We start from the raw sequence: 26,515 nt of genomic DNA, 5'->3' as shown, positions 1-26,515 counted from the left end.
TTTGCAGTTTTTGCCATTGCTTTATTTTTTTTGAGACAGGCTCTCACTCTGTCACCCAAGCTGGAGTGCAGTGGTGCAATCTTGGCTCGCTGCAACCTCTGCCTTCTGGGTTCAAGTGATCCTCCCGCCTCAGCCTCCCAAGTAGGGGGGACTACAGGCGTTGAGTCACCGTACCCAGCTAATTTTTGTACTTTTAGTAGAGACAGGGTTTCACTATGTTGGCCAGGCTGGTCTCAAATTCCTGACCTCAGGTGATCTGCCCACCTTGGCCTCTCAAAGTGCTGAGATTACAGGCATGAGCCACTGCACCCGGCTTTGCTATTACTTTCAATGGCAAAAACTGCAATTACTTGGCACCACCTAATACTATTCTAGGGGCACAAATTGTATCTTTGGTTTCTCTCTTTCCCTTCCTTCACATGCACCAGGGACAAGAGACAAGAGAACCAAGTGAAGGCGAAACGCTTAGCCACTCGAATCTGATAAGAAGTAATCGTTTTCATGACCAACCCCAGTGCCAAAAATGCAGACAGATTCTTCATTAACTAGGTTCAGCTTCTTCCAATAATTTATTTTAGGTCTGTTGAGAAAAGACTTTATATTTTCAGCTGATAAACTTTGCTTTGCTTAGATGTATTCTGAGAACACAATTAAACTCCACTCAGCATATGCGTGTGTTGAATACAAACATATAAGGTAGGTATATGTGTGCAGTGTGTATGTGCTGTGTCTAAAATGCTTGTACCCAAGCAGAAAATACCGATTTTCTTTCAAATGTCCCTGGAATATGTACAGAAGTTGACTACAGACTGGATCACAAAGAAAATCTCAACAAATTCCAGAAGAAAGTCTATAGGTCTCCCTCTCTGACCACAGTGCCAGAAAGAAGAGAAAATATTTTTAAAAGGCATATCCTGTCCGGGCGTGGTGGCTCATGCCTGTAATAATCCCAGCAGTTTTGGAGGCTGAGGTGGGTAGATAACTTGAGGCCAGGAGTTTGAGACCAGCCTGGCCGACATGGTGAAACCCCATCTCTACTAAAAATACAAAAGTTAGCTGGGCATGGTGGTGCACGCCTGTAATCCCAGCTACTCAGGAGGGTGAGGTGGAAGAATTGCTTGAACCTGGGAGGTGGAGGTTGCAGTGAACTGAGATCACGCCACTGCACTCTAGCCTGGGCAACAGAGTGAGACCCTGTTGAAAGAAAGAGAAAGAGAGAGAGAGAGAGATCTAGAGAGAGAGAGAAAGGAGGGAGGGAGGGAAGGAAGGAAGAAAGGAAGGAAGGAAGAAGGAAGGAAGGAAAAAGGCCTATTCCTGCTACTGTTGCAATGGTACCTGGAGAAGGAACAGAGGGTCTCTTGGCCTGGGGAGCAGGGGTCCTTCCTGCTCTTGTTCAAAGTGACTGGTGAGAGTGACATGATGTTCTTCATGTAACCTCAAGCAGCAGCAGCCCTGTCTGGGAGAAATTCTGTGCCAGGAAAAAGATGACTGGGGAGAGAAATCCAGGCGTGGCTTCATGGGAGAATGGTCCCACTGCCGCATCCTTATCCTTTCCCTTACTGAGATTTGAAGGCTGATAATCAGAGCGCTAAGGGGAAATAGTGGGAATAGGAGGAGAAGCAGTCGGAATGCTTTAGACATGCAGAAAAACCTAGAAGGACAAGTAATCCTGCCCTCCTTATTAGCTCAAGCAACTGATCACAGCTGTGATAGAGAAAAGACATTGACAGATAAGGGCTTTTGATATCAGGCAATCCTGATGGCCTTAAAATACCAGAAGGACATTCTAATTAGATTCAGAGTAGGTGAGTGATAATCAGATTTGGGATCAGATCAGGGTTAAATTAAGCAGTGAATGAAAGAAGTTAAAGATTAAGGAGATCTATACCTCCCCTCCACTTCTCAGGAAAGATTTGAGCCGGATTTTCAAAAATGTACACAATCATGTAGATAGTGGTTAAGAGCCTGGACCTCAGGATAAAAGAGAATTAGGTTTAAATCCCAGCTCTGCCACTTCCTGCTGCGTGACCGTGGGCCAGTCACCCACCTCTGATTTCTCATCTGTGAAATGGAGGGCAAAATACTTCTTGCACATGGCAGGCTTGTTGGAGGACAAAATAGACTAGGTACCTGAAACGTGCTTGCTACAGAACGTGCACTGAGCGGTTACTTAGAATTGCAGTTCTTTTTTTTTTTTTTTGAGACGGGGTCTCGCTCTGTCACCCAGGCTGGAGTGAGTGCAGTGGCGCAATCTCGGCTCACTGCAAACTCCACCTCCCAGGTTCACGCCATTCTCCTGCCTCAGCCTCCTGAGTAGCTGGGACTACAGGCGCCCGCCACCACGCCCGGCTAATTTTTTTGTATTTTCAGTAGAGACAGGGTTTCACTGCGTTAGCCAGGATGGTCTCGATCTCCTGACCTCGTGATCCACCCGCCTCGGCCTCCCAAAGTGCTGGGATTACAGGCGTGAGAATTGCAGTTCTTAATACATGGAAGATGAGAAATTTTATCTCATGGATCTTCACGAGATGTACATGATGAGAGACCGAGGACAACATCTATAATGATATCTCTACAGCATATTCACTGGCGAGTTACAGGGGCTGTTCAGTTAAGGTCTCTCAATGCAAGCCAGTGGAATAAGAGTGCAAATATAGGAGGAATTTGGGTATTTTTCGACCTGCCTCTAAATTTGTATCCTTTTAAGTATGTTGTCTTCAATTCTAGCAATGCCAATACTTAGTTGTTTTCACAGAGATCTATTCTTAAGGGAGAAGCAGAATTGAATTGAATACTTGTACATGAATGTTCCCAGCTGCATTATTCACGACAGCCAAAAGGTGGAAACGACCCAAACGTCTGTCAGCTAATGAATGGATAAACGAAATGTGGCATATTGGCCAGGTGCGGTGGCTCACGCCTGTAATCCCAACACTTTAGGAGGCCGAGGCCGGTGGATCACCTGAGGTCAGGAGTTCGAGACCAGCCAGGCCAACATGGTGAAACCCCGTCTCTACTAAAAATACAAAAATTAGGTGGACATGGTGGCAGGCGCCTGTAATTCCAGCTACTCGGGAGGCTGAGGCAGGAGAATCACTTGAACCTGGGAGGTGGAGGTTGCGGTGAGCCAAGATGGCACCACTGCACTCCAGCCTGGGCAACAGAGTGAGACTTTGTCTCAAAAAAAAAAAAAAAAGAAAAGAAAAAGAAAAAAGAAAAAAAGAAAGAAATGTGGCATATCCATATCATGCAATATTATTCCATCACAAAAAAGGAATGAAGTACTGATACACGCTGCAACATGGATAAAGCATTATGCTAAATTATAAAAGAAGTCAGACACAAAAGCCCAATATTGCATGACTCCATTTACGTGAAATTCACAGAATAGGCAAATCTATAGAGATGGAATGTGGATGAGTGGGTGCCTGCGGCTGGGAAGTCGGGGGAGGATAAGAAATGACTACTCATAGGTACAGAGTATCTTTTGGGGGTGATGAAAATGCTCTAAAATTGGTTAAGAAGTGAGTGTGAATTGTACTCTTTAAATGGGTGAATTGTATGGTATATGAACTATATCTCAAGAAACCTGTTACAAAAAGCAAAATAAAAAGGGGCCACTCTTCCCATGAGCCTTGCTTAAAGGAGGGTGGGCTAGACTCTGAATTAAAACATCTGGGGTAGTTTTACCCAGATGATGAGTAAAATAGCCTAAGGGGAAATAAAGCGACAAAACATTTCATTGGGAGAAAGTCACAGAAATTCTAATGAGCCAGCGGGCGCCCTCAACATTGCAAAATGAGTTGGGCCTCAGAGTATCCAAGGAGGCCCCTTTCAAATCACCCTTAGTGCCAGCTTTTATTTATTTATTTATTTGTGAGAGTGTGTCTCACTCTGTCACCTAGGCTGGAGTAGAGTGGCGCGATCTCGGCTCACTGCACCCTCAACCTCCTGGGCTCAAGCAGTCCAGCCTCAGGAGTAGCTGGGACCACAAATGTGTGCCACCATGCTTGGCTAATTTTTGTATTTTTAGCAGAGATGGGGTTTCACTATGTTGCTAAGGCTAGTCTCGAGCTTAGGCTGGTCTCGAACTCCTGAGCTCAAGTGATCCTCCCACCTCAGCCTCCCAAAGTGCTGGGATTACAGGTGGGAGCCACCACGCCTGGCCAGCACTGCGTGCTTGACATACACTAATTTGTTGTAGCCTCCTCATACCCTCTGAAAGAAGTATTGTTACCCCATTTTGCAAAAGGAGAAAACTGTGTTTCAGAGAAGCAAAACGCCTTGTGCGAGGTCACACAGCTAGTAACCTGACGCCGAGTCCAAAGGATTCCTGTGCTCTCCACCTTCACGCGTGGTTGGCTTCCTTCTCTCCCCTGACATCCAATCCCAAACCTCTCCTGGTGCATTTATGCCCATGTTCTCCTGTTCGAGTGCAAATTGTTATCCTCTGCAGAAACCCCTATGTGTGGATGAAGATAGTTTCCAAAGCATCTTTTAGCTTCCTCTGCTTAATTAAGCAACTCCAATTCACACACCTCCCAAGGAGAAGCATCAAAGGATGACAACAGAGGAAAAAAGTCTGAGTTCCGATTGAATTGCAAACTCTCTGCAACAGCCCGGCAACAAACATATGCTCATCTTTATCCTGGAAGAATGGACATAATGGCCATTGTCCTTGAGAATAATCCAAGATTTAGGAAACACATGAAAAGTAGAAGTTCCTCCTTCGCAGAAGGTCATTGCCTATTTATTCCCCAAAATGTAAAAACCCAAAGAATGTGTGGCTGCATCACACTTAGTGAATTGTTGAGCTACCAAAATAGAAATAAAATATGGAATGTTTTATACTAATGAACATAGTGTTCATATTAATGAGCATTTATGTGACCTTCCTGGGGAACAATTGAAAGGGAAAAAAGTGTTTAGAGCAGATGCGCTTATGTATATATTAATTCCCAGCCCTTTGTAATGTCTTTAGCTATGCCACCTATGGAAATATTGCCTCCTTCTTCAAAATTCCTTAGCATTGAATCTTCACTTGTCTTTAAAGAAACCTCTAGGGTTGGTACAGTTCAAGCTCACACTTAGGCATGAATGCATAGGTACCCATAAAAGCAGGGAATATGTATTCTTCACATTCACTTAATAATGCACGTGGGGAAAGTTATTTCTGGTCTTCCCTTCCCCTCTTTTCATCCCCTCCCCAATTTCTATGCCCATTATCCTCCCAAGAGCTGCAGCCTCCCTGACCACCCTCAGAGTCTGATTTTATAGCACAGACCCTTGCAATAACTACTACGTAACTTAAACCCAAACCCCCAAGGATGTAAATCACGTTATTACTCACCTGCCATATCCCAATGTCACATTCCAATTACTAATGTGCTCCTTGTCAGTAACATAAGTAGTAAATGTACCATCATTTTGGTGGCTTATTGAAAAATCAATCCCTCCACCGAACTGCTTTGACAGTAGCTCTGTAAGCAGCCGCTCCCTCTGTTTAAAGGGGAGAACAGGCTTCCTCCTCTCTTTCCCCTGGAAACTTCTATTCCAATTACATAGGCTGATGGCTTAGCGCGGTTGCAAGACTTTAGAGGTGGTTTCAAATTCCAACCCTGCTATTCCCCATGTGCACTTGAGCAAGCTCTGTCTGGCTTCGGTATTTCCACTTGTAAAATGGGATTTTCACTGGGTTATTCAAAGTGCCCAGCACATAGGAGCAGTTCAATATGAGCTAGTTCCCTTTCCTGCGCAGAACAGCTACCAGGTTTGTGTTCCTAATGCCAAGAGCAAGGAAGACCCTATAACATTTCACCCCACTCATGGACACTGGCCTGGCTGACCAGATGCCAAATGATCACATCAGTGACCCGACCCATCTCATTGCAAGACTACATTTGGTCACTTGTGCTCCATCCAACTGGGTGGCAAATGAGTCAGAGAATGAGGCGCATAGGCTTTTAAGGGTGGAGTCAGATGTGTGTTGGTGGGGTGGTGTTGGGCAGAGCTGGGGCTGTGGTGTTAACAAAAAAATGACAAAAGGCAGCAATTTAACTTTCATGCAGGGTGCAAATTCACTTAGAAACTCCTTATCAGCAGGACTGGGGAAGGATCATTCCACCCAGAACAAAATGCAATAGATAAAAATAACTTCAGTGTCTTAGGGAGACAGATATTAAGGCAAGGAACTATAGAGGGCAATGCACTGTAGTCTTAAAGTCCTAATCAGTTTAGCAGGTTGGAAACGGGCTGGTAACAGCCCTGGTAAATTCCCCAGCCATGCTTCCTAGACTCCCGTCGTCTCACAGCTAAATTAAAAACAACAGTCCCTCCTTCCACCCACCTCCTCTGCACTCCAGGTCTGCTTGTGTTTCTGGAATAATTGCACCTGTGTGTCCTTCCAGCCCGCCTCCACAGCCAGGTGAGCTCCAGCCCATAAAATCATCTAGTGTTGCTATTTCTGAAAGCCGATTTCTTGAGAATATTGGCTGGACCCTAACAAGCTCAGAAACATCAGAGCGGCTGGCAACTAATGCCTCTGCCATCCTGAATTCGGCCTCACACTTTATCAAAGAGATACTTCCCTTCCCTTTAGGAACTAGGGGAGATGCTATGGTTTGGATGTGGTTTGTCCCCATCCAAACTCATGTGGAAATTCGATCCCCAGTGCGGTGGCAGACAGGTACAGCCTAGTGGGAGATGTTTGGGTCATGGAGGTGCATTCCTCATTGAATGGTCTAATGCCTGCCATACTCATGGGAGTGAGCAGGGTCTCACTCTGGTGAGACTGGATTAGTTCTCATGGAAATGCATTAGCTCCCGCAAGAGTGGGTTGTCATAAAGCCAGGACACTCCTCAGGTTTTGTCTCTTCACGTGGGTCTGCATCCCCTTTGACCTTCTCCACCATGTGACACTGCAAGAAGTCCTCACCAGAAGCCAGGGTCATGTCCTTGAACTTCTCAGCCTGCAAAACCATGAGCTAAATAAACCTCTTTTCTGTATAAACTACCCAGTCTCAGGTATTCTGTTATAGCAACACAAAATGAACTAAAACAAGAGGTGATTGAAATACTGCAAAGGAAAGCCCTATGTGTAAGAGTCCTCCATAAAACACGAGGCACTCAGAGTCTGTCTTAGGCACTATGGTAGCTGGAAGCACTCACCAGTCAACATGCAAGCTCAACAAGCATTTGTTGGGTAAGTCCCTTTTCTTCTCTGTGCCTCAGTTTCTGCACCTGTAAGATGAGAAACCTCACTCACAAAGGGCCAGATGATCTAACCGGGGGGTAGGTCTAGGGTTGTCATGGAACTGAGACCCCTGGTCCTCTGATGGCCCTCCAGGTGGGCTTGTAAAGGGTCTTCCACATGCAGTTCTACATGAGGCCATGTACATTGTCCCTGCCTGAGACTCTGCAGCTTCTCTGGGATTCAAATCCAGGCCAACCTGACCCAGAAGTACATCTCTCTCCTCTCACTTCATGCTGACTTTCCTCTTCCTCTGATCTTCGTTTCTTGCCCAAGGGTGGTCCACAGGCCACCGTTCCCCATCAGCTGTGGTGTCTCGGCCCCCACGGGAGCTCTTGAAATAGATGGAGAACTTCTGTACTAGCACCAATATGGGCCAAGTGACCACAGGTCAGGACCCCAGACTTCCTTGAGCAGCCTGATTCTGGGTCAGTGGTGGGACTGGCTGGGAGAGGGGCCAAGAGACACAGCTGGAGCCTGGGGCTATCACTAAGTTGCAGTGGATCATGCACCAGATTAAGGGCACTGCTGCACTTTGTTCAGGCTATTTCATCCGTCTGGAATGTTCTTCTCCCACTGAGAGGCAGGACAGTGTGGGAGTAAGAGCCAGACTAAGGGGTTCAAATCCCCCTCCTACCACCTGCATCCACTCTGCAGCTTTGGCATGTAAGCTGTGCCTCAGATGCCCCATCTGAGAAATGGGGCTGAAGATCATTCCTATCTCATGCAGTGTGGTGAGGATTCCATGAGACAGAGGGTGTGCACCACGTAGAAAAACGCCTGGCACCCACGAGGTAACATTGGGCAGGTTCGTGCTTGCTCTTCAAGTCTCCTCTGTCCTCTCCCATTGGATGCCCTTCCTGTCCACTGCAGCCCCTCCTCTGTGCCCCTCTGCCCTGGGCACCTTCTCATCAAAGCAGTCGTCACACTGTGTTGTGATCGCTCCTCTAACCATCCCTGCAACCGCAGATCCCTGGGGGAGGGACCTAGTCTGCTTCATCTGGAATCCTCAGGGCCTAGGCATGATACCCAGCTCCTCCAGAAGAGTTTGTGAAAGGAATGAGGAATGTGCCTGGACTTTGGAGTGAGCCAGATGAAGTCACATCCCAGCTCCACCCATTCCCTAGATCTGTGGTTCTAGATGGTCCATTTTTCCTTTCAGAATCTCAGGTTCCTCACCTGGGAAACAAATGTTGCTCAAACTTCAAAGAGCATAGGAATCACCTGAGGATCTGGTTAAAGCACAGATTTGGATTCAGCAGGTCTGGGAGGGGTCTGAGAATGTGCATTTCCAACAAGCTCCTAGGGAGGCCCATGTTGCTGGTACAGGGACCACACTTTGAGTAGCCTGGCACGCAAGGACACACAATAAAAGCTAACACGTAATCTTATTACACGGGCAGAAGAAGTGATATTTCTGATTATAGAAGCTGCAATCCATACCCCAGAGCCTCTTGCCCCATTTCAAAGTCAGTTCTCCAAGGCTTGCACTTGTCATCTTCTGCCAGTGGCATGGGCCCTGGGCAAGTGTACCTGCGAGACCATCTGGCCCTTTGGAAGTCCGCCCAGAACTGCTAGTCCTGGCATGGGCAGAGGCTGAAAACGCTGACCAAGCCTAGACAGTGGGAAGAAGCAGGGAGGGGGCAGGGCCTGCAGGTGGGGAGGGGGCTGGGCCTTTTGATAAGGGAACATCACAGAGCTGCTGCCTCCCGGGAAGGATTTGGCTCCGGTTCCTCCTCATTCGCAGGCCTGGCACCGTCTGATCGCCGCATGGCTGACTCAGGCTGCTGGACTCCCCATTCAAGATCAGCTGGGCTGAAGCATGGAAAGCCTGCTGTGTCCACACCTGCTGGGCCTCAGCCCATCTCTCAGGGCCACCTGGATCCCACCTTCTACTCTGAGGCCCCAGGAAAGCCCAACTCTCAAATGCAAACACCTGGAGCTGTCCAGTGCCGGGTCCAGTTAGACAGCCCCAAGGTGGAGGGAGATGGTAGGGGAGGGGAGATAGGGACGCAGAGAAGGAGAAGGAGATCCAGGGAGACCCCCAAGATCCAGACTTTACGTTTGCCTCCCAGGTGAGGAACCTGAGATTTTGAAAGGAGAAACAAATTGCCTAGAACCACAGATCTAGGGAATGGGAGGAGCTGAGATATGACTTCATTTGGCTTGTTCCAAAGTCCAGGCGCATTTCTCATTCCTCTCACAAACTCTTCCGGAGGACCTGGGTCTCCATGTCTAGGCCCTGAGGATTCCGGGTGAGCTGGACTAGGTCCCTCCCCCAGTGACCTGCAGTTGCAGGGGTGGTTAGTGGAGCGATCGCTACACAGTGTGATGACTGCTATGAGAAGGCGTCCAATGTCAGGAAGAGCTGACATCCCTTAAGCATGTCTATGTATTGGGCGCTGTTCTGCCTGCTGCACAGGCACCCACTCCTTCAGGCGGGCCTTGCCATCCCACTTCATGGCTGAGAAGACTGAGGCCCAGAGAGGATAAGTCAACGCCCAGGTGGAAGTGGGAAGAGCCAGGTGCCCCAGCATGGTAACCCCGAAGGCCTCACTCCTAGCTTTGACCAGGATTCAAGGCCCTCAACAGGCCCCCTGAATGGACACCCCAAACGAGCCTCTGATGAGGGGTGCCTTTGTTCTTGCTTGCCCACATTTGCTGGCTCCATGGGCCCTCTGCACATGCAACAAGGGTTGGTCCTTGGGACAGGGTGTGGGGTGTTTGAGATTCTGCTCCAGGGGCTATCGCAGCGGTGGGGCAGCTGAAGGCTGGCAGTATGGGAGTGAGTGGGTGTCCCCACCACCGCAGAAGGGAGCCCCTAGCTGTGGGACACGAAGGGCATGCTGGCTTTACAGGTATTATCCCATCAGCCGGCGTCTTGGGCAGTGGTCCCCTGGGCAGGCCCAGGCTCAATGTGATAAGAAGGTAACACTGCAGGGACCCACCTAGATGGCTGCTCCATCCTGGTGCACTTAGAAGTGGACCATCTCCCTAATACAGCTGTGAGCCGTCTAGGAGGGGAGAGGTGGGCTGGGCACTGGAAGGGATTAACGCCAAGGACTGACACATCTGATGGTGGAAGGGCCAACCCGACAAAGGCATAGCTGGTCCAACTCAGGGAGTATCCCCAAATTCTGCTCTGATCCCAGCACTGTGCAGGGCCTGGAGGACAGAGTGGAGAAAGACTGCGTGCTGTCTCTCAGGTACTGTGAGCAGGCCCTCGGAACCACACCCCAAATGGAGAAATAGGTTTCCTTCTGAGAGCTGGGCTAGGAAACCAATATAAAACTTCCAGAGTCTGGGGCTTAGGGAGGTACACCTGCCTAGGGGAGGGATCTGGTGGTCAGGGTGGCAGGGCCACCTTCCTCAGGCAGGTGGCAGCCTCTCCCTTATCATCTTTGTGGGACTTTCTGGGTGAAACCTCTCCTGGAACAGAGCCACTCATTCAAACACGTTCTGCTGGCCTGGTCTGTGCCACACAGAATGCTGGGTGCTGGAGCTGCAAAAAAGATGTGGCCCCGTCCTCAAGTTTGCAACAGCGAAAGCAAACACACGTGTGATGGCCATGGCAGTGAGGTGGAAGGTGGTGAGGATGGTTGCTTGGGTTCAAACTCTTGCTGTACTTATTATCTGAGTAACCGTGGGCAAGTTGCTTAACCTCTCTAAGCCTTGGTTTTCTCGTCTGTAAAATGGCGATGATGTTAGCCGTATAAGCCTCCTTGGATTGGTGTGAGGATTTAACAAGATACAGTCTCTTTGCCTTAAACATGTCACAGATGACCAACCTCACATGTGGTTGGTCAGTAAGGGACTTGGGTTAGTAGAATGCCAAGGTCATGTTGGTTTATGAGTCATCTTCCCCAGCACATTCACATTTTGAAGTAATCAGAAGCATGCTTTCTCAACATTAGAAAAAGCATAAATAGGCTGGACGCAGTGGCTCATGCCTATAATCCCAGCACTTTGGGAGGCTGAGGCAGGCGGATCACGAGGTCAAGAGATCGAGACCATCCTGGCAAACATGGTGAAACCCTGTCTCTATTAAAAATACAAAAATTAGCTGGGTGTGGTGGCGTACACCTGTAGTCCCAGCTACTCAGGAGGCTGAGGCAGGAGAATCGCTTGAACTTGGGAGGCGGAGGTTGCAAGTGAGCCGAGATCACACCACTGTACTCCAGCCTGGGTAACAGAGCGATACTCTGTTTCAAAAAAAAAAAAAAGGGGGGGTAGAAAATCTACCCAAGTGCCTTTCTTTATTGCAAGCAGTAGTTGATTTAGTGGCTTCCAGAACTGCTGCTAAGCTATCTGGGGGAGCCGTGAGTAAGATGGAAAAACTCAAAATACTTCTGCTGCTATGGAAACAATGGATGAATGATAAAGGCAGCAGTCTGGATTCGATTTTTAATTTTGATGAAAATGGTCTCTATCAGAAGCGAATGCCCTCTGGGATCAACATCCTGAAAGAGAAAGCGCAAGCTCTTAAATGTGTCCTTTCTGGGAGCATAGAAATACCGACAGGAAGGCTAGGTACCAATTCAGCTGCGCCAGTATTCTTCTAGGGAGTTTTATTGTTTTTTAATATTCTCTGGTTACAAAACTCCCAAAGTTTTGGAATGATCTTCCCCAACCCTATTCCCATAAGCCCTGCTATTCTAGGTGCATGACTTTATAGAATGTAGGGTTTCTGTGAACACACACATGACAAGAGACTCGAAACCTTTGTGTTAATGTGCTCAGTGCAGAGCCCGGAACGTAGTAAACACTCAAAAATGTTAGTGGCAAATATTATTGCTATTATTGTTGATGAGGATGACGATGATTAGAATTAATAACAGATGGTGGTCAGAAACACTCAAATGAGGGCTGTAATGTTCAGCTGGAACCTCAGTGTGGCAGTGACCCTGCGACTCTGGTTACCACTTCTTGGAATCAGTCAGCACTTCATGACACCCAGTGTGCACCAGACACTGTGCAACACCCTGGCAACTTAAGCGGAATGAACGCAGGCCCTTGCAGGAGGCAGATATTACTCAAAACATCCTACTTTCCCCTGGGAGTGGCCGAACAAGGGGAGCTCAGCCACCCTAGCCTCAGTTCGCTGGTCTGTAAAATGAGGGCAGGGGCTGGATGATCCCGGGGCCCCCAACCTCAATTCCCAGTGACTGCTCCTGCCCTGGTCCCTGCTTCCTGGAGCCGCAGCATCCGGCCCCTCTAGCCAGCCCCCGCTCCATGCACTTGGGCCTCTCTCTTCCCTTCGAGCCTTCCCCAGCTTTTGTTTCCAAGGCGCTCCCAGGACACGCTACGCTACACAGATGTCTCCACCAACTCCGCCTTGGTGCAGCCCGAGGAAGAGGATGCAAATGTCCCCGCTTCATGGCCCTTGATGAAGTGCCAGCCTGGCGAGATGATGTATAGCATGGGGGATGGATGGCGACGTTTTAATCACTCACGGGGAGAGCGGGCAGCTGCCTAATGGAACTGTCGGTCTTACTGACAGTTGACATCTGTAGCTTCAGACTTTAAGAGTGGATGTTCATGCTCCCCACTTGGATGCCTCCCGCTGAACTCCAAAACAAAGGCTCCTTGCACCCCACACGCTCGTGCTTACAGAGGGAGCTGTTGCTTTCCTCGACAAGGAGTTGTCTTTGGTTAGCAATGATAATTGGCTTCATTTTTTCTGACTTCCTCCCCACTTGCCAGCTTGTGTTCACCCCATCCTTGAAATACCTCTGCGGTAGGCACGGTGGTGGGCACACTGCACCCATTTTACAGATGAGGAAACTGAGGCTCAGAGAGATAGAACTCAGGCTGAGACCAGATCAGAGGCAGAGCTAGAACTGAGTCTCCTTAACTCTGGCAGCTTCCCCTTCCTGGGTCATCCCAAGTTCTGAACTTGGTGACATCATCTTGGGGAGAAGGAGAAGGTCAGAGAAAAGCAGCAAAGCAGAGGAAAGAAAAGAGAGAGGAGAGCTTAGAAGGCAGAGGAGAGGCTCAGAGACGTGTGGGAAGGAAGAAGCTGCAAGAGGGAGCAAGGAACACATCCAAGGTGGGGAGCCGCTCCCTTGCCTGGTCCTCAAATTTGCATGTTTTTCATGCGTATGTGACATTCATTTATTCATTGAACTAATATTTATTGAGCACCTTCTATGTTCCAGGTTTTTGTTTTTGTTTTTGTTTTTGAGACAGAATCTCACTCTGTCGCCCAGGATGGAGTGCAGTGGCCTGATCATAGTTCACTGCAGCCTCGAACTCCTGGGCTCGAGTGATCCTCTCACCTCAGCCTCCCAAGAAACTAGGACTGTAGGTGGCCATCACGCCTGGCTAATTTTTTAAAATATTTTGTAGAGACGAGGTCTCAAAATTTTGCCCAGGCTGATCTCCAACTCCTGGCCTCAACTGATCCTCCCACCTCGGCTTCCCAAAGTGGTGGGATAACAGGCGTGAGCCACTGTGCCCCTGCCCCAGGTGCTGTCCTAGGCACTGGGAATGCTGCACTGAATGGAACAGATAATGTCCCTGGCATCATGGAACAGATTTGGGTGGGGGAGGCTGATGGGTAAAGACATACAGAAGTAGTGTGCTCCCAAATTCTCTTCTTACCTGAGCACTACACAGACGCAGATGTACATAGCTCACTGCGGACCCAAGGCAAGGATTGGACTATGGAGGTGGGAGTCAAAACAGCAGGCACCTCCCAGGCCTGCAATCCCTTTTCTGCTACAAGCCTACATCAATTTCAATAATAAAATGAAGATGGCTGCTTTGAGACTCTGGGCAGAGCAAGGGAAACACAGCCAGTGTCTGTTCTTCACAGGCCTCGGCTGCAGTCAGTGGAGGTTGGCCACTGTCGCCCCTGAGCTTGTGGCCACCCTACTTTGATTGATAACGACAACTTCGGAAGCCCTTGGCGGGCCCAGGCAGATGGCACTGTGATGTCTATGAGATCAGTGTGCGGCATAAATCCGACAGCTCAAATTCTGGAATTGTATAAGCTTTTAAAAAGATTGCCGGCATATCTTTTATTTTTATTGTGCTAGAAACACAAACGAAAACAGCAATGATTTGTCCTTCAATAAACAAAAGCAGTAAAAGAATAGGGGAGAAAAAAATCACTACCCACTTTACATTCCCTGAGCCTACTTCTCGCTGTGACTTAGAGCAGGTTGTAAAAAACCCATTTAGAGGGGGCTGCATGTTCCTGCTGCCCCTCGCTCCCTGCCAGGGGCTGTGGTGTCAGCCAGACCCGGGTTCACGTGTGGGTCTGCTGCTTGCTGGCTGTGTGGCCTCAAATCAGTCCCTTAACCTCTCTGAACCACAGTCACCTTCCTATATAAGAAGACTATAGTTAATAAAGGTGGAAATGCTTAAGTTACTGCCTGGCAGGTAGAAGGCACTCAGGAAATTCAACAGTTATGATCACTGTGGTAAGTGTTATTGTCAGCTGCAAAATGAGGATGATAACTCCCCCCTGATTCTCAAGGTCATGGTGATATTCAAGGGAGATGACAGATAGAAAAGAGCTTTGTAAACTGTAGTGCACTGTGTACATGGCAGGCCTGATTATTAAGTCAACTAAAATAAATATGTGTTCTTGTGTCAGCCTTGGCCAATAATACCTAGATTCCATATCTAGGTTTTTTTGTTTTTGTTTTTGTTTTTTAATATCTCACGGTCTGTTGAAAGCAACCAGTGACATGATTTGTGCTGGTTCTGCCTCTGTGTAGAGCCATTCCCCCTGCCTCCTCTCTGTTATGGTTCCCTTCCTTTTTTTGTTCTCTCTTGTGGCCTAGGAACACTTGGGTTATACCTAGATCGCTTGATCTCAAACTCTAGTCCTTGGAATCATGCTAAGACAAAAAGCTCCATAGTCAAATACATTTGGGAAATGCTAGATTCAACAGGCTTCTTTATTGCAGGGCTTCTTAGCAATTTTGCTAAGCCAACTTGCATCTTGAGTCTCCAAAAACTGTAGAATGCAGCAGCTCCAAGACATGCCGCTATAGAACTTTCCTCCCCTATGTTGGCCATAGTACCTGGTGACTTCCAAGTATAGGGAGTGTAATTAATCAAAGGCCCAGCTGCTGTCTTGGCACAGAGTCCATGCTTCCCCTGGGCTCTTCCCAGCAAACGATGGAGCATGACATAAATCTGAAGTCAGCCCACTCCTGGGAGACACGGGATTTTTCTGTTGACTAACTTGGCTTGAGGACTCCTGGACAGCTTTGTCAAACCTTCTTTAGGTTGCACGCAGTCTAGGATGCCTTCACCCAACATTCTTTCACTCTCCATCTCTCTGGGGCCGACTTGCCTCGAGGTCTGACCACTCTCCAGCTGTCTCCAGCTCCCTCCCCATTTTCCCTCACAGATATTTTCCATAATAAAGTCCTTAAATGTTTAATTCCATTTTAGCGTTTCCTCCATAGAGGACCTAGACCAACACATACCTCTTGAAGAGCACCTATTACCACCATAAGGAACACAGGGTATCATGGGGGCAATCTGGGAAACTACAATCCAGCTCATCAAGGGCATGCAAAACTGAAGGAAGGAATTGTTTACTCCATCCATCCATCCATCCATCCATCCATCCATCCATCCACCCACCCATCTATGCATCCATCCACCTACTTACCCATTCATCCATCCACTTATCCATCCATCCCCCACTTACTCATCCATCCATCCACCACTCAGTCATCCATCCACCTATTTACTCATCCGTCCATCCACCCACCCATCTATCCACCCATCCATCTATCCATCCAACCATCCATCCATCCATCCATCCATCCATCCACTCATCCATCCCTTCACCTATCCATCCATCCGTCCATCCACCTACCTACCTAATCATCCATCTATCCATCCACCCCCACTCACTCATCCATCCATCCACCCAACCATCCACCCACTCACCCATCCATCCATCCATCCATCCACCCACCCATCCACTCACTCACCCATCCATCCATCCATCCATCCATCCACCCACCCATCCACTCACTATCCATCCATTCATCATCCACTCATCCACCCACTCACCCATCCATCCAGCTGTTCCATCCAGCCATCTGTCTATCCATCAACCCACCTATTCATTCATTTATCTGTCTGTCCACTCATCCAACTACTCACCCATCCATCTATCCACTACTCATTTATTCATTCATCCATCCATCCATCTACCCATCCATCCATCCATTAACCACTCATTTATACAGCCATCCACCCATCTCCCCACCCACCAAAACACCAACTCATCTATCCACCTATGCACCCATTCACCACCTACTCACCCATCCAAGCACATACCCATCCATCTACCCACCCACCCAACCCACAAACCAACCAGACACTATGGTGGGATGCTGGACAACCCACTGAGTTTCCTGACTGTGAAGCTGCCACCTTCTCAGGCTGCCCTACCAACCTGGTGGAAGCCAAGAAGAGACTGAAAGTAGCATCATTTCCTCCTTATAGGAAAGGGGCTCTATCATCTGAGCTGATTCCCATTCAGATGGGACAAAAATATATCCTACAAAAGCTCACACTTTCTTCATTGCGAACAATCTCATTTACATCTTGGCTTGGTGCCCAAAGGGATGCCTGCAAGACATACTTCTAGCGCATGTTCAGCCAGGCTGACAGCCCAGGAAGGATGTTATTTTGTAAAGTGGAGCTGAGAAAATATGAAGGGTGTTTCCAAAAGTTGCTGTTCATAATGAGGAGGGTAAGGAAGGTGAGGAAGTAATAATTGCCAGGCACCTGCTCAATTCCAAGCTCTTAACTTGTAGCACCTAATTTTACCTCCACATCAACCTTTAGAGGAGAAGGTCTAGTTATTATCTCCATTTTATGGTGAGGAGACTGAGGCTTAGAGAGGCAAATCATTTTACTTAAAAGGTGGAAAATAGAAGTGAGAGTACAGGCTAGGGCAGGAGCTTTCCTAAGGCTGGGCTCATCTACATGCCCAAGACAAGTTCTGGGGCTGGAGTGGGGTGCTGTGGGTAGAAGCAGGCTCAGTCTGGACTAGATGTCAAAGGGTGGCTAATGAGAGCTCAAAGCATACATTTGGAAAAGGAAGTTGGGTCCCTCTGGAAGTCTTCTGTTCTCTACATATGGAAGGCTGAGGATGAGGGAGAGGCGTAAAACTCCAAATATACTTTTTAAACTTATTAAAACCACGCTGTCCTCTGCAGGAAGAAATCGTTCCAAGCATTGGCAATGTTGCAAGATTCAGTGTGTCTTTGTCCAGTCGAGTGAGTTGCTTTGGTGAGGAAGACACTGAGGCTGAGATTTGTGCAAGAGACCCAGCAACACCTGGAAGCTGACTGTGGGTTCGACAAACTCAAGATTAGCAGAAAAGACAACCATGGGAGTGTCTGTGAAGAGACGAGGACTAGAAGGGAATGTGGAGAATAAACAGCTGTCAGGGTAGTGGGATGAGGGTGGGGCGAATATTCCATTTAAAATATCTTAAGAGTATAAAATGAAAACATTTAAAGCCAGTGATAGGGAGGCGAATTTGCTGGAATCTTTCCCACCTCTGGGTCTTTGCCCATGCAAGTTTCTGTGCCCCAAAGGCTCTTCCACCCCAGCCTTGTCTGCCAGCATCTCAGAATCAGGGCACGGCAGAAAGGTCATCTCCTCTAATGAGCCTCATGTCACAGCAACCATGAGATCCTAGGCTCTCAGATTAGGGGCCTCCTGTGCCCTTCTCTCTGCCTAGAAAACTACTCCTCTTGGCTTCTTCCCATGGCAGACTCCCTCCCTGCCATCCTTTAGGGTTCAGCTTAAATGTTACCTCCTCTACCTCCTCAGAGAGGTCTTCTCCTACCACCCATCCAGATGGGTCCCTTATTATTCTTTTTCTCAAACCTTTATTTGTTTCTTTTCTGGATTCTCTCTCCCTTTGACCCCACACACTGCCTTGAGTCTAGTATGATGACTAAGCACACAGTAGGAATCGACTTGAATAGGACAGCAGCTCTGGGATAATCTTAGTATACTTCCTGGCTCTACAGTGAATGTGGTTTTAATAAATACCAGCACTGGCCAGCCACTGAAACTAGGAAATGTGATGCAACTGTATTGGGAAGACTGGGGAGGGAGGGGGCCAAAGAGAGCTCAAGTTTCATCCACCATCACAGAACATCAAGAGATAATGTCTATAAGAGATGTTTCTTGGGTAAGCCGAGAAACAGCAATATACCAATCACATCACATTATGGAGACAAGGAGCAACAAAAACCCCAGTTAAAACTGTGGGAAGTCCTTGACTCCAGGGAGCTGGAATTGAAGGAGGAGAAGGGTGGCCATGGGACCATCATTTTCCATTATAAGCCTTTTACTACTCTTTGATTTTGAAATTATGTGCATGTATTACTTTAATAAAAGTAAAAATTAAAAAATAAGAACAAGCACAAAGAAAAAGAAAATCCCCTTGCAAATTGTACTGCTCCTCTAATCCTTCCTTGTAACATGTCCTAAAATGATACTGCAGCATGAAGGCAAACATTGTACATGGAAATGAGTAATGGCAATGTAATGTAAACAGATGTCAATTCCATTCAGTGCAATGACTTTTAAATATAAACACTCTGGTGGGAATATTTCACTCGATGATGTAGGACAACGAGGGCTTCACAGGGCTGATAGCTAACGCAACAGGAGAGAATGCCCCTGCCCAGGGCCTCCCTGCAGTGCCATGGACTGACATTGGCTCCAGGCAAGACCCTCAGTCTTCTCATCGTGCTACCTTGGTTTTCTCCTGGGTAGCAAGGCCTGCTTGATCCTGCGTGTCTATTACTGTTCTAGAAATAAGAGACACTACCACAGATATGGATCCACCAGAGGGAAAAGAGAAAACAGACCAGGCCATTCATTCATGCATTCAACAAAAAATGAATGACCACCTATTATGTGCCAGGCATGGTTTAAAGTGCTGGGTATAAAAGAGTGAACAAAACATGAAAATCCCCATTTTCTCTTGGATGGTTACATTCTAGTGGGGGTTGGGCTGAGGTAGAGAATAACAAAGACAAATCAGCAAAAGATAGCATAAGTGAGAAAGAGAGCAGGGAGGGGGACAAGAAGTGCTGTGGTTGGAAGCTGCAGTTAGGGAAGGACTCACTGATAAGGGCACATCCCAGCAAAGCCCTGAAGGAGGTTAGAGAGTTAGGCCTGCAATGTGTGTGGGGAAAAGGAACAGCCAGCACAAAAGCCTGAAGGCAGGAGCACAGCTAGCCTGGATGAGTATCAGTCAGGATGCTGGAGTGGCTAGAACAGGATGAACAGAGATGAGTAGAAAAGATGAAATGAGATAGATAATCAGGCAGGTCCGATCCATTGCCTGGTGCATTCATTCATTCCCAGGGAGGCCTTGATGTCAGTGGTACAAAAAAATGGCTCTCAAGGAAAAAAAGAGAAGAAAGGAAAATACAAAGTCCTGCTTTGCAGCATCTGCTGGTTTCTGTGTTGTGATCCTCCCACTGCTGCTGATGTTAAGCCAATGTGACGTCACTGGGTGCAGAGCTGGGAAGGGAGGGGTGTATCTAGCCCTAGCATCCAGTACCCTACTGCCAGTGCATGGCCATCTGCTCTTTAATGCTCCAGGGATTTAAAAAAGTCCCTGCCCCTATACCCAGGAAATGTAAATCTTTGGCCAGGGAGTGTCCTCTCCCTACTTGGCACACAGCATGCTTATGGCTCCATTTCTTTTTTTTTTTTTTTTTTTTTTTTTTTTTTTTTTTTGAGACGGAGTCTTGCTCTGTCGCCCAGGCTGGAGTGCAGTGGGGCGATCTCGGCTCACTGCAAGCTCCGCCTCCCGGGTTCACACCATTCTCCTGCCTCAGCCTCTCCGAGTAGCTGGGACCATAGGCACCCACCACCACGCCTGGCTAACTTTTTGCATTTTTAGTAGAGACGGGGTTTCAACGTGTTCTCGATCTCCTGACCTCATGATCCACCCGCCTTGGCCTCCCAAAGTGCTGGGATTACAAGCGTGAGCCACCACACCCGGCCGCTTATGGCTCCATTTCTAACAGAATTGCCTGCAAAAGTACATATGGTGCCACAAATGTGCCAAATGTATTGCACCTGAAGCCTTTACACTTGTTGTTGATGCTTAGAATGTTCTTCCCCAGATGTGTGCATGCTTACACTATCAGAATTAAATTATTTCCCTATCTACCTATCATCTTTCCACTTATCTCTCTCTCTTTCTTCATCATCAACTATCTATATGAAAGTGATTATGGCCTTTGGTATCTGGCATCCTGGCATTGCTATATTCACTTCACATTCCTAATAGTATCTGGCACATGGTAGGCATGCATTCAATAGATATGAATAAATTACCCTTCTGTTTACAGTATGAACACTTACATATATGACCCCCTGCATAGATTTGAAGGGTCTCCACCAAGGACTATTGAGGTGCATCGTGGACAAGAGATGAGTTTGCAAGAGGCAGCATCCAGGCTAAATGACCACGCTCTTTCTGCCTGGATGAGTGTTGGACTTCTGAGGGCAGCTTATCGCCAAATGGCAGCCCTTACTTAGCACAGTTCAGAAGATCACGCCCAAAGCGCCTCTATCACCTGCCACGAAGGCTAGAGTGATTTCAGCAGGCAGTGTGCAGCATAATCTTCTCTGAGCATCAGGAGAGCCTTCACCCTTGGGTTCATGTTTGAGAGATATTTAATGTGCTTGCGAAATGTCTCTCCTTTCTTGCACCTGTATTCCCACAGACATAGATTCTGGAGAGGTGGACAGGGGCACCCAAATGCTCAAAAAGGGAGGAGCAGCTCGTGATTAGGGAGAAAAGGTTGAAATGAGATGATTTGCCAGTTATTCTGTGTGTGATTAGATCCCCCACCCCAGACTTTCCAGCGCCCAGCAATCTAATCATTTCAATGGCTATTATTTAAATAAAAGCAATAATCGACCTCTGCAGAGGAGCGTACTTGAATCGGCAATCACCGTGCAAGACCTCTCCTGGACTCTATTAAGAATGAAAAGGGATTCGTGGTCTGAAGCAGCCCATGAGAACAACACAATGTGAAGGAAGTCAGTTTTCTGCAGTGCCAGGTGGTAGGGAGGGTCAGAAAAAATAGCGGGGTGGGGGTGGGTTGGCACCTATCTTGGCATCTGGCTGGAGCTCCTAGAGGGACAGGCAAGGTACTGGAGAGGACAGAAGGCAGGACAGAGACCATTTGGCTCTTCCTCCCCCAGAATTATTGCAACCCAGAGAAAAGAAGAAACTCAGCCAGGCTGGTTTCCCTTTATTGCCTGCTCTGCAAACTTAGAGGCACCTCCAGAGCCTTGAGGTGCCTCTAAGACATACAAGCCCCAATGTCTTTCATTTCATCAATGGAGCATCTACGCTGTGCTGGCCATCAAGGACGTCAGGGTGAGGATTAGTCAGAGAAAAATAGTCCCCGTTCTTAAAGATACAATCTAGCTGAGGAAGAAGAAAGAGCAACAACAATAACAAACACACAAACAGGTAGATTAAAACACAACCTGATAGATGAGATTATGAGCTCTGCACCAAATGCCGTCAGAATAGAGAGACAGGGAAGGATATCTTGGTTGGATCTTGAAGGATGAATAGGGGTTTTTCTGGTAACGATAACAATCATACCAATAGCTCATGTTCATTTAGGGCTTGCTTTGGTCACATTTTTCTGGGTGCGCTTCATTTATTATGCTACTTAAAAATGATCCCTAGCATTTATTGAATGTTTATGCCAGGTACTGTTCTAGGTGTTTGACTTGTATTACCCTAACTTAATCCTCACAGTGACTCAGTGAACTTCCTCACACCCAGCTCATGGAAATTGAGGCCAGGGAAGGTAGGGGGACTTGTCTAGAGTCTCTCACCTAGCAAAGGAATGGGGCTAGGATTTGAACCCAGACAGAACACTCCGGAGACTGCAGTCTTAATCACTATCCTACACAGCCTTCTCATGGGAACATTTCTTCCAAGCATCTGAGGGATAATACCAAGGAAACACTAAGTGTTAGTGCTCCGAAGTGGCAGGACAGGCAGGGCAGGTTTAGGAAGCACCTCTGCAGCCTGAAAGTCTTCCCTCCATGCACTGTGCTAAAGCCTGGAATTCTTATGATGCCCCTGGCAGGAGTTGATTATGGGGGCATGGGCTGCTTGCCCTTCTCTCTTTTCTTCAAAGCCAGGTGGATAAAGTGCAAACCTGGAGTAGGTTTAAGAATCAGGGCCAGGTGCGGTGGCTCACACCTGCAATTCCAGCATCTGGGGAGGCCAAAGTGGGCGGATCATTTGAGGTCAGGAGTTCAAGATCAGCCGGGCCAATAGAGTGAAACCTTGTCTCTACTACAAATACAAAAATTAGCCAGGTGTGGTGGCAAGCGCCTGTAATTCCAGGTACTCAGGAGGCTGAGACATGAGAATCACTTGAACCTGGGAGGCAGAGGTTTGCAGTGAGCTGAGATCCCACCAATGCACTCCAGGCTGGGTGACAGAATGAGACTCTGTCTCCCCTTCCCCTCACAAACAAAAAGAACCAGGAAGCTAACCTTACAACCAAAGAATGGGATCAAGAGGGGAGCCGAGGCACACCTTGGAACCTAATTGAGCATGGTTTTGTGAAGCTGAACAGAAGGAGATAAAGTTAGCAAGAGGGAAGATTCTGGGTAACTGACCAGGTGGGGGGCTCTTTCTTCCCAGCTGAGGTTTGGACTTTCCAGTTCATCTCATGCCCCACAATCCAGCAATTTCACTCCTAGCCATAAATCCAAGAGCAATTCCAGAAGTCATGGATAAGTACATTCAGACGTGCTGCTATGATCTTAAATTTCATATGTTGAAACTTATCAATGTGATAGTATACAGCGGTAGGGCCTTCAGGAAGTGATTAGGTCATGAGGGCTCCTCCCTTGTGAATGGGATTAAGGTCTTTAGAAAAGAGACTTCACACAGCCACAGCTCTTTTGCCCTTCCATCCCTTCCTCCACGTGAGGGTGCAGCATTGGTCCCCTCCGGAGGGTACAGCCCCAAGGCGCCATCTTGGAAGAAGGCAGCAGCTCTCACCAGACAACAGAACCTTCCAGTGCCTTGATCTTGGACTTCCCAGCCTCCAGAACTGTCAGAAATAAGTTCCTGTTCTTCTTTATAAATCATCCAGTCTCAGTCCATTTAGCACAAAGGGACTAAGACAGCAGCATTGTTTATGATTACCCTCCACCACCCCAAATATAGCTCCATGGTCCATCAGAGGTAGAATGGTTAAATAAACCGTTTTATATTCACACAAAAGAATATGAGCCAGGTGCCATGGCTCACGCCTGTAATCCCAGCACTTTGAGAGGCTGAGGTAGAGGGATTGCTCGAATCCAGGAGTTCAAGACCAGCCAGGGCAACAGGCTTGTCTCTAAAAATAATAATAATAATAATAATAATTATCCAGGGGTGGTGGCACATGCCTATCTGCCAGCTACTCAGGAGGCTGAGGTGGGAGGATCTCTTGAGCCTAGGAGGTTGAGGCTGCAGTGAGCTATGATTGCGCTATTGCACTCCAGCCTGGGTGACAGAGCAAGACCCTGTCTCAAAAAAAAAAAAAAAAAAAATTATACAGCTATGGGAATGAATGAACTACACTGACATAAAACAACAGGTATGGGCCAGGCACAGTGGCTCACGCCTAAAATCCCAGCACTTTGGGAGGTTGAGGCAGGCAGATCACCTGAGGTCGGGAGTTCGAGACCAGCCTGACCCACATGGAGAAACCCCGTCTCTACTCAAAATACAAAATTAGCAGGGCATGGTGGCGCCTGCCTGTAATCCCAGCTACTCGGGGAGGCTGAGGCAGGAGAATCACTTGAACCTGGGAAGCGGAGGTTGCGGTGAGCCAAGACCGCACTATTGCACTCCAGCCTGGGCAACAACAGCGAAACTCAGTCTCAAAAACAGCAGCAACAACAACAGCAGGGATGTATTTTAGCACCATAATGATAAATGAAGAAAGCAAGAAGCAAGAGCCTACCTATGAGATCTTTCTAAAAATTTTTTAAAAAATTAAATAATTATCTAGAGATTTATAAACACACAGCAAAACTTTAAAAAAACAAGCAAAGAAATGAGAAAGACAACATTCAGGACAGAACTGCTGTGTAATTAGATCAAAGCAGCTTTTAGAAAGACAGAATTCAGGAAGGCGGTTACCTGGGGGCGGAGGAGTGGACGGGAAGCACCTGCAGGTGGCCTCAGCAGGGCTCATTAGTTTCAAGTACTTTGGGGAGATGATGGGTCTAAGAGTGCCATTTAAAAGTATTATATTTTAAAACTTTCAAATTCATTGATGGAGGTCTTTAAAATATATTAAATAGAATATAATGAAAAATTTTAAAGAGAGGCAAGGCGTGGGGGAATCCATGCTGAGACACCCCCTCTCCATTTCCCTCCCCACATCGTGCAGGACTTGGCTTGGGTGGAGGTGGCTGGGGAGCAGGAGGTGGGAGTTGGGGAGCCTGAGGTTTCACCTGACCTGACTTCTCAGGCCTCGGGGATGCTCAAGAGAGGAAGAGACCAAAGTGGGTCTGGAAAGAGGAGGCGTGGGCCCAGATGAGCTTCCGTCAAGTTGAATGAAGCTTCAGAGTTGGGATGAGGAGTTGGAGGGTCAGAACCTGGAACCTCTGTCACTCTTTAGCGGTGGAACATCTGGTGGCTCCCACTTGCCACTCGCAACAAAACCCTCAGAAGCCAAAGGGGCAGCTGCTTGGGGCAGTGAGGGAGGAGGCTGGAGCTCGTCCCACCCACTCCCCAGTCTGTCAGGTAAGAGACACAGAGGTGCGGCTTTGAGTTCAGGCTTAAAATCTGGGGCTTGGGACCTGGGGACCTGGACCAGAAACTTCCTGTCCTCTGGCTTATGTCCCTCCTGGCTTCTCTCCACCCTCTCTCTGTCCTGCCCAGGGGACCTGGAGTCTTTAGCGAGCACCAGAGGGGAGGTGGGCATGCAGGCTTCAGCTTCTGTCCCCTCTTCTCTCAGGAGCCAGTTGCCTGCAGGAAGCACACTTTCTGTAAAACTTACAGGTCAGGTCTCCTGCTAGCGGGGCGGAGGGGCTCAGGGGCCTGCTGTCATCCAACTGGCCCACAAGGGTCTGTTTGCCTAATGAGATCCCCATTCTTCTATCTCCAACCCAGCTGTTACCAGCAATAGAGGTAACATTTTGGCCTGCATCTGCTGACTTTTGTTTTCAGTCTCACTGGGTTATGAGTCAGCAGGGAAAATTGGAGTGTTACACATTGGTGCCCCTCAAACCTCAATGTCAAGGAGGAAGGGGACTCCTGGGAGCTGTCAGGGGGCGGGGGTGGGAGGTGTTTCCCGGATAGGAGCCAGGGAAAGAGTCCAGGCCAAGGGCTACGGGTGGTGGAGGCAGGAGATGGTGTTACAGGGACAAAAGGGGCCCTGGAAGCACAGCTCCCATTTCCCTTCCAGTGACAAGTGGCTCTTGGAACGCACTATTAACATAGAGGTCTGGGTTCAAATCCCAGCTCTGCCTCTTCTATTACGGTGCAATTTGGGGCCAGTTATTTAACTTCCGCGCTTCAGTTTCCTCCCGTGACAATGAGACTATCCATAACTTTACTGGGGCTGTTGTGCAGAGTGAGTAACATAATGCACCTCATGGTTGATCCCGTGTTCCAATCAGGCTCCAGGAGAGACACTCAGATTGCGGCCCCCACCCCCTTCTCGTCAGGTTTTCTCTGGCTCTGCCTACGGGGTACAAGAAACACTCTCTGGAGCTGTAGCCCATCTCTCATTCTGTCCCTCTTTTTGAATTTGCTCTGCGGTAACCCTGAAACTTTACAGCCAATTTTAATTTTTCTTCAATTTAGAGCTTGTCACAGATGCCATCATCCTTCCTCACTGCCCTTTAAGGCAACATATGTCTTTGGTGACCACAGGGCAAAGCAGATACAAAGACAGGTAGAAAATTCTATGATCACAGTTGATAGGAATTACAATACCTCTCGGGGAGGGATCAAGAAACTCTGATCCCGCTGGCGGGATGGGCATTTCTAATGAATTAATGCCATGCACTCAATCTGCTTATGACAAACTGTTTCAAAGCCTGCTTGCCAAAATAAGCCTGCTTTAACTGAACACAGAAACACATAAAACCATTAGGGAACCTACTCTTTTTTTAGCGGGTGGTCTAGCTAAAGAAGTCTTCTGCAGCAGAAAAGTCATTTAAAATGGGAGAGTGCCCCAAACCAGCACT

General features: G+C 47.9%; 1 protein-coding gene across 11 annotated transcripts in view, besides 2 other annotated features; it reads right to left on the bottom strand.

Moving 5' to 3' along the window:
• Nucleotides 1-26,515, bottom strand: part of KAZN (kazrin, periplakin interacting protein) — a 1,225,220-nt gene that overhangs the window by 256,633 nt on the left and 942,072 nt on the right. The gene's annotated exons all lie outside the window — the stretch shown is intronic.
• Nucleotides 11,939-12,438: an enhancer, noted in NCBI's record as "H3K4me1 hESC enhancer chr1:15175469-15175968 (GRCh37/hg19 assembly coordinates)". NCBI's record gives its function as "activates a minimal SCP1, AML or CMV promoter by ChIP-STARR-seq in primed H9 embryonic stem cells {active_cell/tissue: H9 hESC(primed)}" and the evidence as "EXISTENCE:reporter gene assay evidence [ECO:0000049][PMID:30033119]".
• Nucleotides 24,955-25,456: an enhancer, noted in NCBI's record as "H3K4me1 hESC enhancer chr1:15162451-15162952 (GRCh37/hg19 assembly coordinates)". NCBI's record gives its function as "activates a minimal SCP1, AML or CMV promoter by ChIP-STARR-seq in naive H9 embryonic stem cells {active_cell/tissue: H9 hESC(naive)}" and the evidence as "EXISTENCE:reporter gene assay evidence [ECO:0000049][PMID:30033119]".

The sequence above is a fragment of the Homo sapiens genome, chromosome 1 (assembly GCF_000001405.40).
Source record: "Homo sapiens chromosome 1, GRCh38.p14 Primary Assembly".
NCBI classification, from domain to species: domain Eukaryota; kingdom Metazoa; phylum Chordata; class Mammalia; order Primates; family Hominidae; genus Homo; species Homo sapiens.
Note: the sequence above shows the minus strand (reverse complement) of the source record. Positions and strands in the feature narration are given on the sequence as shown.